Source organism: Homo sapiens, chromosome 3, assembly GCF_000001405.40.
Source record: "Homo sapiens chromosome 3, GRCh38.p14 Primary Assembly".
NCBI classification, from domain to species: Eukaryota; Metazoa; Chordata; class Mammalia; order Primates; family Hominidae; genus Homo; species Homo sapiens.
The window spans coordinates 131997475-132011069 of NC_000003.12; the positions used below are offsets into that span (position 1 = coordinate 131997475).

Below are 13595 nucleotides of genomic sequence, written 5' to 3' on the forward strand. Positions count from 1 at the left end.
ATGTTGATCAAGCCCATAAATTTCTCTGTTCCTCGTTTTTCTTTATGTGAATAAAATGAAAGGGCTGGCCTAGAAGAGAGAAAAAGAGATATATTTTACAGATAAGAGTAGGTTCACGAATCCATTGGTAGTATTAATGTAACTAATGTACAGCCTCATATCTTTTGTTGTAGTCAAGAACCAGAGCTTCTTTTATTAGGTGCAATATGGAGAACATTTTTATAGGTATGGGAAAGACATTTTAGGTGGAATGCTCAGCATGGTCACAGGTATGAACATTTAAAAACTTAGATTGATGGCAACAAAGCGGCCAGATTTGGCAGGTACTTGAATGCCAGGCTGCAGTGTTAACATGATCTTGCAAGCAGCAGAGAAAGGTAGAAAGTTTTTGAGTCGGAGAGTGGCATAATGAAAATGCTGTTTCATGAGGGCTGAACTCTCTTATAATTGCCTGCTTCCATGATAATGACATTGATCCATTGAAGAGGGCAGAGCCCTTATGACTTCATCACCTCTTCTTAGGCCCCACCTCCCAACACTGTTGCATTGGGGATTAAGTTTCCAACACATGAACTTTGGGGGACAGATTCAAACCATAGCATTTAGCTAGATTGAGAAAGGAAGGACCTGGATGTAGATATCATGAGGCATTCTTTCTCTCTTTTCCCTCTCTACCACACCAGGAATTTTAAAGGCATAGAAATGCTAAAGTTTCCTACCCTTGAACCTCAAAGATCCCCTGATGATGCAGCTGCAGGCATCCTGGATAACAATCCATGAGCAAGACAAGAAAACCATGGCCAATTGCTGATCCCACGTGTGTACTAACTATCCTGTAAGGTAAGGGTTTCTTCCTTCAACCTTACCTCCTTAATTAGAATGACTACCAGAAAACTAATCTACAGGAACACATTTTAGCACCACTAAACAGCAGATTAATGAGCCAGTCTGTTCACACGAGCTTAAAAATGTTTTCCAGTTTGCCTCTAGCAATTTCTCTCTGAACATCAAGCCATGTAGGATGGATGCTGCGAATCCCCAGCTGTGACCCATTTTAACCCAGGTATTGAACGTGTTTGAGGAATTGGATTAACTGCCTTCACATGACAAGACAGGAAAGAAAACATTTTTCAGAGTTGCATTTTCTTAAGTGTTTCTGACCCACTGAGAAACTGTTCCTATTTATTCATCTCTCAAATTCATAGTGGGCATTTACTAGTGTTGGGTACTGAGGATACAGAAATGAAAAGATGGGTAAGGTTTTAGCCATTGAGATTTTATTTGTTCATTCTTTATTTGCTTCCTTATCCCATGATTATTGAGTACCTACTACATATTATGCTATTTTTCACCACAGAATAGTCTAGGCTGTTTAAAACTAGCTATTGTATACCATTTTGGATTATGGAACGATAGTAGTAAACAGGTCCTATCTCTAGCTTATATTATAATGAGTGAAAACAAAATTACCGGATGATGAGAAATGCTATGCAGCTAATTAACACAGAGTCACATGCTTAAGAGGGACTGTGATTACTTTAGAATGGGTGGGCAGGGGAGGCTAAGATTTGAGGGGCATGAAAGAGGCAGTTACATGATAATAAGGGGCAATAGTATTTCATACACAGAAAATAGCATTCCGGACAAAAGAAAGAACTAGTGCAGAGTAGTGTAATGCAGGGAAAAGTTTGGTATGTTTGAGGAGAAAAACGAAGGGCAGTGCACCCTCTGTCTCAGAAATCTCAATTATAGGTATTTATCCAAGGTAAAAAAAAAAAAAAAAAAAAAAAGATAGCCTCTGTACACAAATGTGTATGAATAGCAGCCTTATTTATAATATCCATCAAGTGGTGCAAGGACAAACTAACTGGGGATCATCCATGCCATGGAATACAATCTAGCAATTCAAAGGAATAAGCATGCAGTAACATAGATGAATCTCAAGAATACTATTTAGTGAATGAGCCTTATGCAAAAGAGAGTACATACTATATGTTTCCATTTATATGAAGTTCTAAAACAGGCAAAATAATTCTATGCTGGAAAAGAATCAGAAAGATTGTTGCAATATTAAGCTCTATTTCAATATATACTGATATAATTAAGGAGAAATGTATTGATGTCTGCAATTTGCTTTGAAATGCACCAAAATATATGATGGATTAATAGATAACAGGGTGGGTAGATGGAGAGATATATGATATGATAAAGCAATTGATTTAAAATTTTAGTGGTAGAACTGGCACTGGTTTAAAGGATTACTGTAAAATCCTTTAAACTTTTCACATTCAAATTTTTTTCATAGTAAAACTTTGGAAAAGAAAAGAAGGCTAGTGCAGCTAGAGCATACTAATGTGATGGAGACAAGTACTGGGCAAATAATTCACACAGGTAAATGCATTTTACTGCATGTTTTTCATTAAAAATGATTATTTCTTTTCCTCCATTCAATTGTTTATATGGTTTCTAGTTAATTAAATGATAAATCCTGTAGTCATTTAACATTTTCTTGATGCAGATTGATTTAGCAACAACATTCAATGTACATCTACTGTGCCCCTATACTGAAGGAAATAGGCAAAAAAAAAAAAGTCTGAGTCATTTATTCCTGCTAACAAGAAGCTTGCAAAAATAGTTGGGAAGATCGGACCAACTCATATGAACTAATCAGAGAACAAGATAGGATAGATAAAAAGATAATGCTATCATAAAAATGGGATTTAAGGAAGGAAGACCCTGTCAAGAATAATGCTGAATGGGCCCAGAAAGATAGACAAATTTGGATTCAGCTATAGAATTTAGATACTAAATGGAGGGAAGGTGTTATAAGTTCTCCCAGTCACAATGTGGTGCTTAACAAGTACTTACTATGTGCTAAGCTGTGCTAAGCACATTGCATTAATTTAACAAATATTTATGTTATCCCCAGGTGCTAGGAATAAAACAGAGCACAAAATTTCTTGACCTCATGATCTACTTGTGGGGAGAGGAAGTAACAGTCGATAAACAATAAATAATAAAATAAATAATAAATAAATAAAATATCAAATTTATTAGTTACTAGTAAACGTTAAGGACAAACAATAAAGCAAGGAAGAAGGCCATAAAGTGTTAAGGAAGAGACAAAATTTTAGAAAAGGGAAATTCTCATTGAGAAGAAAATTCTTGGGTAAAAAACCCAAAGGAATTAGAGAGCTGACAATTTGGGTATCATGAGAAAAGCATTGCAGGCAGACAGAATAAACAACTACAAAAGTCTTAAAACAGTAGCATTTTAAATACATTAAAGAGACATCAAAAAATGAATAATACAATGCACTATCATCACACCATTGCCCTTCAGCCTGAGCAATGGAGTGAGACCATGTTTCTTAAAAAAAAAAAAAAAGGAAGGAAAATGGATAATACATTATATCTCCCTTAATATCCACAATCGTCAATCGTGTGGGCTGTGTACTAGAATCAATCACATTTTACAGATGAGAAAACTAAGGCACAGAAATGTTAAGAAGCTTGCCTAGATCCACTCAGAACAAGCCCTCAACAAAACCAGTCAAGACCATGTCAAAACAAAGTTGTTTAAGTTGTTTTAATGTCCAATTTTGGTCTCTCTACTCTTCATATTGTAGATGCAAGAGTTACAAGGAGGGAAAAGGAGAAAGATCTGAATATTATCACTGATCAAAAAAGCAAGGCAAATTAAAGGAAATCCTGACTAACAAATGATTTCCTTTGCTGGCTAGAGAACAGAAGGTCAGCTAGGTCAACCAAAAGATTACTTTATTCGAACAGATGAGGATTATGAGTAATCTTAATTCAGAAGAACCAAAATAAAACACTTCCATGAAGGGGCAAAGAATAACTCTTACCCAAGTATGATGAGTACATAATGTCAGGAAGGTTGCTGTTTCAATCAATATATGACAAATGAAATGATAAAGGAAATCTGGCTGGCTACAAATGGACCATACAAATGCATCACAAAAAAACTCAAAGCCTGCTGTTATGGACTGTAAGAAATGCCAGGAGTCTTGTAATTGTGAGAGAGAGAGAGAGAAAGAAAGAGACAAAGAAAAAAGAGAAAGAAAGAAAGAAAGAAAGAAAGAAAGAAAGAAAGAAAGAAAGAAAGAAAGAAAGAAAGAAAATGAAGAGGAAGAGGAGAAAAAAAGAATTCCATCCATACTAAGTATTCGATTCAAAGCAACAATTCTTACAGATTCTTCATGTCTGCATGAGGTGAATAAAAGATGGCCCTTCAGCCTTTCTCTTTCTATCCACCCCACAAATAAGGAGAATATCCGGAGACTAAAGGGCTGAATTAAGGTCAAAATCCATATCCACTGAGTCCCTCCAAATTACAGTAGCTTTTTAAGCTTTGCTCAGTGTAATAAATCATTTGACATTAATTCTGGTAACCAATATACAACAAAATTTCTTTTCCAACTTCCCTAGATCAGCTGCTGTTGAGTAGGGGTTTTGTGTTTTTTTCCTATTTATGATCCTTTCCAAACATTTTTATTTTCCTTAACCAGGTTATGTTGTTCCCAGTGAGTCCCAGGCTCCTTTCCGAAGGATGATATCATCACAGACCCAGTAGCGCCAGCTAATAAAAATCTGTTAGGCTGCCAATCTTATCATCACCTCTGGCACCCACACCCACTATGGTGATAGCCCCCATGTCTGCTTACTTGAGTCCCCTTATGTGCCCCATTTATCATCTCAATAGTACACCATGGCATTCAGAATAATCTCAAAGGTCAAAGACCAATTGCTGCAGAGATGGAGATATTAAATTAAACCCATGTCTTGGCAGAAAGCCTCAGAAGAAGAAAAGGCCAGTGACAGGAACTAAGGCTCTCATTAATGTGTTGCTGACTTGTCACTTTTATGAAACTCTTGTAAGGAGTTGAACTCTGATTTCAAGAAGAATACAAGGCAGTGAAGTTCCAGAGGATTTTCTCTAATTTTTCTTGCCACATCTTACTCAAATACATTTCTTCTTTTTTCCCAAGTTTATCCAAAAAGGTAGCACTAAAAGAATGTGAAGAATGACAAGAAAGTCTTTATTAAGCATTTGTCTGCCTGAAGCATTGACACTTGTCCTCAGGAAGTTTGCAGTTTGTGAAAATATGACGCAGGATTTATGTGAGGAGGCGTGTTTCTGTTACATCTGCATCTACAGAAAATCAGTTGATGGTGTCCATTTGGACATTTCTGTTCTTGGTATAAAAAGCAAAAACAAAAACAAAAAACCCATGAGTCAATTCTTTTAAGAGTTATTTACATATCAAAGTGCATATTTAAACAAGTATCCTTTGTAATAAGTAAAAATTTAAATAGAAGAATGGATCAAAAAGCCAAACTTTGCCAAGCCTATCCCTTCTGATAGGCTGATGATCCCAATGAAGACAACAGCTGTCAGTTAAGTCCTTACTACTGAAAGTGTGGTCCTTAGATCAGCAGCCTCAGCATTACCTGGAACCTGAGTAGAAATGCAGAATCTCAGGCCCCATTCCAGACCTACTGAGTCAGAATTTGCATTTTAACAAGATCTCCAGATGATTCATATGCACTTTAGGGTACAAGAAAAACAGAGTTAAATGAATTAACTGTGAGTTCTGAATGAAACACATTGTCACAGACACAATCTGCTTGTTTGCTCATCATTGGCAGATATAAGCTGATATGGCTTGCGTATGCATTGAATGTACACACTACATTCATATGCATGTGAATTGACATGGATCACATAGATGACATCATGGCTGCCTCTTTAGCAAAACTATGCAGTTAAGGGGACAAGTGAGGGAGGACAGGGTTATTTGTCACAGAGAGGAACTCCTCAGCTTATTTTAGATGATGCTCTCTTTTCAGAGAGGCTTTAAGCTGTAGGTCTAATCAGCTTTTCCACAAAGCCCCCACCAGTCTACTCACCCTCTGCTGACCCCAGGACCTTGCCTAGATAATTTATTCCTGAGGAGCAGTCTAGTAGACCTCTGATGTCCTTCCTCTCATGATTCAGAGAGCAGGTGTGTGATGCCCTTGACAGCTGAGGGCCCTTCTCTCTCTACTACTTCTATGAAAAGCCATCTTCACCACCTGCTTCTGGGTGACAGACCTTCTGCTCACCCTGGCTCTACAATGGGTGAGGAGTCAGTGGGAGTAAGACCTCAACAAGCACACTGTCCTTGAATTATATTACACAAACCATCATAATGCCATCTTTTTAGTATGCTTCCTGAAGCAAATGATTAAATTAAAATTCAGCTGATGTCTCTCTTCTCCATCCAAGTTTATTGGGATCTGGGAAAGTAAAAAGTTACTTGATAGGAGGGAGCAATATAGATCCTGATTAAAAAGACAAGGCTGCTGACAGCTAGGGGCCATGGAAGCTGAGATGCTGAAACTTGCCGGCATCAGCATTTTAATTGCAAGATGGCATTCATCAGAAGATGCCCCCAAATTAACTAACCTGAAAGAGTAGAAGGGGAGAGCAATGCAGGGGCTGGCTGACCCTGATTAAATTGGATTTCATGATGGAAATGATGGTCTCCTCCTCTCTGAATGGCATCTCCCTCCTATCCTGCTCTCCACACCCTTCTGTCAGCATTGTCTCCAAGTTCTAAATGGCTTCAAAAAGGCAACAAAGCAGGTAAGTAATCTAAAATGAGCATCATTTAATTCTCTTCTGTGAAAATTACAAAAAAAAATAGATACTTTAAAAAATCCATTCTATATCTATGTCTATATAAAATGTATCTTCTGATTATAACACACCTAAGCAAAACAAAAGTGCATTTTTCGGTATATTTTTTAAATTTAGGAAAGCATATAGAGAAGAAAATCAAGATAACCCTTAAGCTCAGAGATAACTGATATTAATATTTTGGTGTATTAATTTCCAGTATAGGATGCATGTATGTCTGCATATGTGTGTATGTACATGTGGAGAGACAGAGACAGAAAGATGCAGACAACAATTTTCAGAAAGACAGAGAAATTTGGGATCATAATGGATATAGTTTTATATTCTGCTAAGTTTACTTAGCATTGTATTGTGAAGATTTTAACAATCTGATGAAAAAGGTTTTCACACTGACATTAAAAAAAAGCAAGAACTCAAGTTAAGCTAGCCTGTGAAACAGTATTAAGAAAGAAAATGAAACAATTTCCTGAACTAAAACATTCCTGATGGTTTACAGGAAATATGTTACCCTTAAAAAACTACAGCTACTGGTATAACCAACATCAAGAAATTTCAAATAGCCAGAGTTGGACATGAGCCACTATGGTTAAGCATTTGGAAACGAATGTAATAGCACATTCCCAGTGGAACTGCAAGACCATGAAGCTATTCTGAAGAAATCTCATGTTAGTATAGCCATTACCTCAAATCCTTTCTATAACTCAGAGGTAGAAAAAAAATAAAGGACCAACACCACTAGAATAGATTCTTTTGGGCTCACTTACATCCATTTTTCTCTCCTTCTGGGCGCAAAAGATAATTCCTCTTTTCCACCTTATTAGTGGACTACTGGGGCCATGTGACTAATTTCAGCCAATAAGATGTGACCAGAACTGATGTGTGGCTCTTCAATGACAGGTATAAAACAGAAACAGCACCCAGTTGCTCTCTGTGGTGACTATGAAGAAAGCCTTGTTTTGAAATGGCAAAGCCAAAGATCAAGGCAGTCTCTTGAACCACTCATACCAGAGGACAATTGCCCTGGAGAGCCACTCAATTATATTAAGCCACTGGGATTATCTGTCAAGTTAGCATGACCTATCCTATCCTAATAGTCACCAAAAAACAACAAAACAATGAATGTGCCATTTTTACATATATATATATATATATATATATATATACACACACACACACACACACACACACACACATATATGTTTATATTTCTATCATATATATATAATAGCTATAGGCTACTATACTTTACAAAAGGAAGACAACAATCTACTAACACATCCTTTTTCTCCATCTGTTCACCTGATTATACAGGATTGGTCAACATGTGTGAAGGGACCAAAAGCATGAGGGAGGGCAGAATTCAGGACCAGCTGACATTCATCTATTCAAGTGTTTACTAAGGACCTACCACAGGGAAACCACTTTGCAGGGGGTTTTCAGGATAAGGAAATTATAGTCATTCCCCAGTATTTTCAGGAGATTGGTTCCAGGACCCCCACATATACCCAAATCCACACATACCCAAGTTTCCCAGTGGGTCCTCTGGAACCTACGTATAAAAAAGACAGCCCTCCATATATGCAGGTTTTGCATCCTGCATTTAATTGAAAAAAAAAATCCACTTCTAAAAGCCCTCACAGTTCAAACCCATATTGTTCAAGGGTGAATTGTAATAAGAAACAGTCCTTGCCTCCTGGAAGTTTGAAGTCTAACAGAGAAAACAAAACATAATACTACAAAGATTAGGGTACTTTTAACAGCCGTATGACCCTGGGGAGGTTATTAACATCTCTGAGCTTCAACATCATCAGCTGTCAAATGGGCAGGAAAACAGCATCTTCCTTGCTGCAGTTCTGTGAGAATATAACATCCAGTACACCATCTGACAAAGAGTAATCACTCACTGATCTCAACGTATTGTTGTTGTTTTATTTACCTGCAGGGGATATTACCATTACTAACACAGAACTTGTTCCTCCTTCTATTTAAGGAAAGTGGCCCCTCACTGACTGTCAAAATATATGATATCATGGAAAAAGCATGGCTATGCAGGAGTCAATCCAGAGATGAAGAACCTGGACACACCACCATGGGCCATAGGACATCTGAAGAGTTCAGTTTCCTCATCAATAAAATTGAGATAATAATTTCTTCCTCTTAGGGTCATTGCGAAGAAATCAAGCATATAACTTGAAAATAGGAATCTTTCTTACTCCTCCCCCGCTTGCCTTAAGAAAAATGAACAGCATAGAAGAAGCAAAGCCTGTTTACAACTTAGGCTCTCTCTAAGTATCTACAGACTGTGACATTTTGAGAGAAGTTTACAGCATAACAAGCAAGATGTTTCCAAATCAGGTCTGCTGCATTCCTCTTCCAAAATCATACAACTCGAAATCTTCTGTTGCCTGAAACTATAAAATTGTGTTCATTGTTATCCACAATATTTCTTTAACCTGACATAAACCTTTCTTTCCATTTTTTTTTGTTGTTGTTCTCTGGGCTGAGCTGTTGTGTTAAAAAGTTGATTGAGAAATAAATTGCCTTGAGAAGCAATGAGCAATCAGAAGTAACTGGATTTCCAAGGTCACAATGGGGCATGACGTGCCCAGACCGCAAAGGGGCAGTGTGGAGCAGGATTTGTTATTTCACAATTAACTAGATGTGAGAAGACACCAACCTGATACTGTATTATCTCATTTGCTGCTGATTCAAGAATGGAATGATATCAAAAATGAGTTCTAAAAGAAACAGCACATCAGAGTTGGATGTAATTCCCCTGCTGAGAAGCTGAGCCTCTGCTATAATAAAAGCTCCTACAATGACAGCTGCTCATTTCTGCTGGTCCAGGGCTGTTATCCTTTATTTTTTGTTAATGATGACTGTGATGTGCTCGGCACCTCTACCAGGTGGATTTTTCTAGAATGTATGATCCATTCTTCTCTTGAAGAAATGAGGAAGAAGAGCTAAGAGTATGATGTTGTTCTAGTAACAGAAAACAGGGCAAGGGTCTTACAGAGTTCATGACTTGAAGCCCAAAATCTGGAAAAGTAATCATTTCCCTGTCTTCACTTCTTTTTGACCCCAGAAACCTAAGCATTTAGTTCAAAGATGAGACGTGACTCAAATTATCAAGTTTAATCTTCAAGGGACTGTTTTCTCCTATTCTCCAAGCAGCAACTCTGGAGTCAGACATGTCTGCATGCCAAGTAAGAGTACCCCTACTGACTCACTTTATGAACCTCACTGAATCCCCAACTCCATGCTTGCAAAATGAAGAAAACACGACGTAAGTATTAAATTGTTGGAAGTATTAAATGAGACGTGTGTGTGAAATGTTTGGCAGAGTTGCTGCACGTGTAAGTTGCACGTTGACTATCTCCACAATTTAAATGGTATGCCTTGGAGTTGTGCCATGTGAAACCTGCACAACCATACACAGCAGCCCTTTTTTTTTTTCATTCAACAGTTCATTCATTAAAACATTCACATGCTATGTTTCCAAGCACTGTATTCAACTTTCCTTAGTAAGCCTTAATGAATTATTCATCATAAATTTATTCTAAATCAATTCTTGGATTGCCATGACACCTGTCATGATTTTGTATTTTCTGTCTCACAGTCACTTGCTCATGTGTCACTTACCCAACACACCCACCATCATTGCCATATTCCAGGGTTTCTGTTCATCACTGCACCCGTCTTCCCTAAGCAATCAGCACAGAGTGTGGCACAAAGTTTGTTCACAATGGATAGCTCCAATTTGAATGGCACATTTCTTTGTTGGAGGCATGGCTGGAATACATTGTGCATGTAACCTCCTGGAAAGCAGGGGGTTTTGTCTCTGTTTTCACTGTGGAATTCCCAGTCCCTAGATCAGTGTCTGGTACACAGTAGGTGCTAATAAATGTGGAACGAATGAAAAGCTGGAGTCTTGAAGATGTTATATGGGAATGATTCAGTTTCTTGGAATATGACTTATTATTTCTTATTGAATGAGGATTGAATGAAGGTATACAAAATGAAAAAAATACCCACACCCAGTCTCGAGTGAAATGGAGTAAATATTAGGTGTAACAACCTAACTGTTGAAGAGTAATCTAAAAATATCAATTCTAGAGCAGACTTGGTATCTGTTTTATTTAAGGTTCATATGAAGATATTGTGTTGATAAAAATAATATCATTTATCAAGTACCTTCCATGTTTTGCAACTTCTAATACATTATTTCTAACCTTAATCACAATGCCATAATATAGCTATTATTCCTATTTTAAGGACAAGGAAACAAGCTCAGAGACCTTAAGCAACTCATCCATGCTTTACATGCAGGAAGTGACTGAGCTGGAATTTAAACAGGTTCATCTGGCCAGAAGCCCCATGATGTTTCCATATGAAGAAAAGAGTATATGTGCACATTTGTGCACATGGGCATGAATGTGCACAGACGTGTACATTTTACACTGTCAGCTATGGGTTCAGTCAGATATGCCCATAAATTCTTTTATGAAGAAGAGCTCCCTAAACTTCTAATGATTTTTTCCTGGTGGTTTTATTTAGCTCCAAAAACTTATGTTTTTTTTTCTTAAAAAAATCCCATAAAAATATTCATTATCAATACATCATATTGATGATATCACTCAAGAAGGAGATGTCTCACTCTAAGCATTATTATAAAAATTCACAGGCAGTCCACTTTTCTAGAAAAATATGCCAGTGATCCTTCTAGCCTTTTGCATCCTGGGATTATTAAACCAGGCTGCTGAGCAGCCTTAAAACCTGCTCTGTGACCAATGCTCCGGGCTGTTTATTTTGGCCTATAACTCTCAAAGTTGATGGGCCCTGCCCTCAGGAGGGAGGGTATGCACACAGAATGCAGTGGGTCACTGCGGAGCTGCCCACATCCTCTTACCTAATAGAAGGTGGACTTCAGCAGAATGCCTGTCTGGAGTCAGAGGTAAGAGCTGGCACTGGGTCACATGGCTGCTCTGTCTCTGTCTGTGGCATATGTCAGGGTCTGCAGGGTGTTTTATTAAAGGAAAAAAATGCAATAGCTTCAAGGCACTAGCTCTCTTTCCCACAAAGCCTTGGTCTATGTGGAGTCAAGATCCCTGAGGAACCTCTGCTCCTGGGGGAGGGGAGGTCCTGTTCTGTAAGCCTCCAGAGCTCATCACAGCCTGTCCCCATCCCTCCATGCTTGTTAAACACCCAGCATGGTTTTCAGAGGCCATGTTGATGCCATATGTTCATACCACTGAAGCATTTTACTGCCTAAGAAGAGGCACTTAGCACAGGGAAGAGCACATTGTTTTCATAGCTGGTTGGCTCTTAATACTTCCCCAGGAAGCTCCAGGTTCAAAGAGAGGGTGTCTGAGAAATTTGGGAAGATGCCAGCAAGGTGAAGGTTTTCAATGACACACTCCAGGATGTCAGTCAGGCAGGGAGAATGACCCAGGTCATTCATAACAGAATTTTTGTACAAAAGAGGAGAAAAAGAAGAGCCAGTGGAAAAAATTATGTATGCAGAGATTTCTTCTTTAGTGGCAGGTAAACATTTAGTTATGTAAGTAACTCTCACTTAATCAGGACTAATTTTGTCCCCTGGGGGTATTTGGCAAAGCCTGGAGATATTTTAAGTTGTTAACAACTGAGTTGGGAAAAGATGGGGAAGCTGCTATTAGGACCAAGTAAGTAAAGGTCAGGGATGCTACTAAACTTCCTATAATGCACAGGATAGCCACACAAATGATTCTAGGGCCCAAAATGTCAATCATGCTGAAGTTGAGAACCCTTGGGTTATGTTAACTCTAAACAGATAAGGAAGTGCCCTCTTTGCCTGCAGCCTCATTGCACTAGCAATTAAATTAGCCACATTCAAGGTAGTATAGGGAGGCATGGGGCGTGTCTTTGAAAAGTACTATCACCTGGCTATAAGTTCCGAGTTTAAATCTTAGGTGCAGAACTTTCTAGCTCTATGGCCTTGGGCAGATTGCCTAACTTCAGTGAATCTCAGTTTCCTCTTTGGCCAAATGCAGACAGAACCAGCTACACCTAACCTGGCGTGAAGTTTAAATTACATGGGATGACAAGAAAGCATTTAGCACCCTCTCTACACACAGCTACAAATAACCAAGCACTGATTATTATGGTCCAACAAAGTGGGAGGAAAAACGAACAAAATATGGTTTTTAAGAGAAATCTACCAAACGCTTCAATAATCTGAGGAAATTTTAGCTTGAGTTTGACAGAAATCTCAAGAATGCTGAGTCGTGGCCTCTTTCTTTAGAGGGTTCCTTGACTCCTGCAATGTGAGCCTCACCATCATGTACTCACAGCTCACAGGGCACCTAATTGACATTTATTATTGTTGCTTTGCTCAGCCTGGGTATCTGGACACTTGTGTCCAGGTCCCCATTTTCAGTGGCCAGGCATAACCCCAGTGATGGCCCGGTCAGGGAGAAAAGATTGTCGATACATGATACTTAGGCAAATGTTCTCACAGTGCATGTAGTCAGAGGGGCCGTGACTCTCTTCATTGCTCCAAAGCTGAGCAAAATCAGGCCAGACATAGCCACATCTGCCTTTGGTCTGACACCCCTCCTCCCACTTTATAGCCAATATCTGCCTTAATGCTGTTACTTCTAGTTGTTAGAGTCCTGTCCTTAGGGGAACTCAAGAGCTCCCTTTTTTCCAAACCCCAAGAACTTCCTGGCACATGGCTTTTCCTGATAGCTTCAAAGGCACCCCAGTAGGGGAGCACCACACAGCATGAAGACAGCTGCTTACCCAACCTGCACAGACTGTCTCAAAGGACCTCCAAATTAAAGCTCCAAGGCTAGAAAATAGCTTGGAAACCATCTCCTCTGTTTTTCTTAGCTGGGGAAACTGAAGC

The 13595-nt window shown here is 38.7% G+C and overlaps 1 protein-coding gene and 1 long non-coding RNA gene across 9 annotated transcripts in view, besides 1 other annotated feature; one reads left to right on the forward strand and one right to left on the reverse strand.

Moving 5' to 3' along the window:
* Positions 1–13595, reverse strand: part of CPNE4 (copine 4) — a 506038-nt gene that overhangs the window by 463906 nt on the left and 28537 nt on the right. The gene's annotated exons all lie outside the window — the stretch shown is intronic.
* Positions 381–1004: an enhancer, noted in NCBI's record as "NANOG hESC enhancer chr3:131716699-131717322 (GRCh37/hg19 assembly coordinates)". NCBI's record gives its function as "activates a minimal SCP1, AML or CMV promoter by ChIP-STARR-seq in naive H9 embryonic stem cells {active_cell/tissue: H9 hESC(naive)}" and the evidence as "EXISTENCE:reporter gene assay evidence [ECO:0000049][PMID:30033119]".
* LOC124906288 (uncharacterized) lies at positions 548–8857 on the forward strand. 2 transcript variants are annotated; one of them, XR_007096092.1, is made up of 3 exons: positions 548–840; positions 2306–2391; positions 3630–4079. It is a non-coding gene; the product is annotated as an uncharacterized LOC124906288 (long non-coding RNA). The 2 variants fall into 2 exon arrangements; XR_007096091.1 differs by lacking the exon at positions 3630–4079 and adding an exon at positions 8697–8857 and having other exon boundaries at positions 684–840.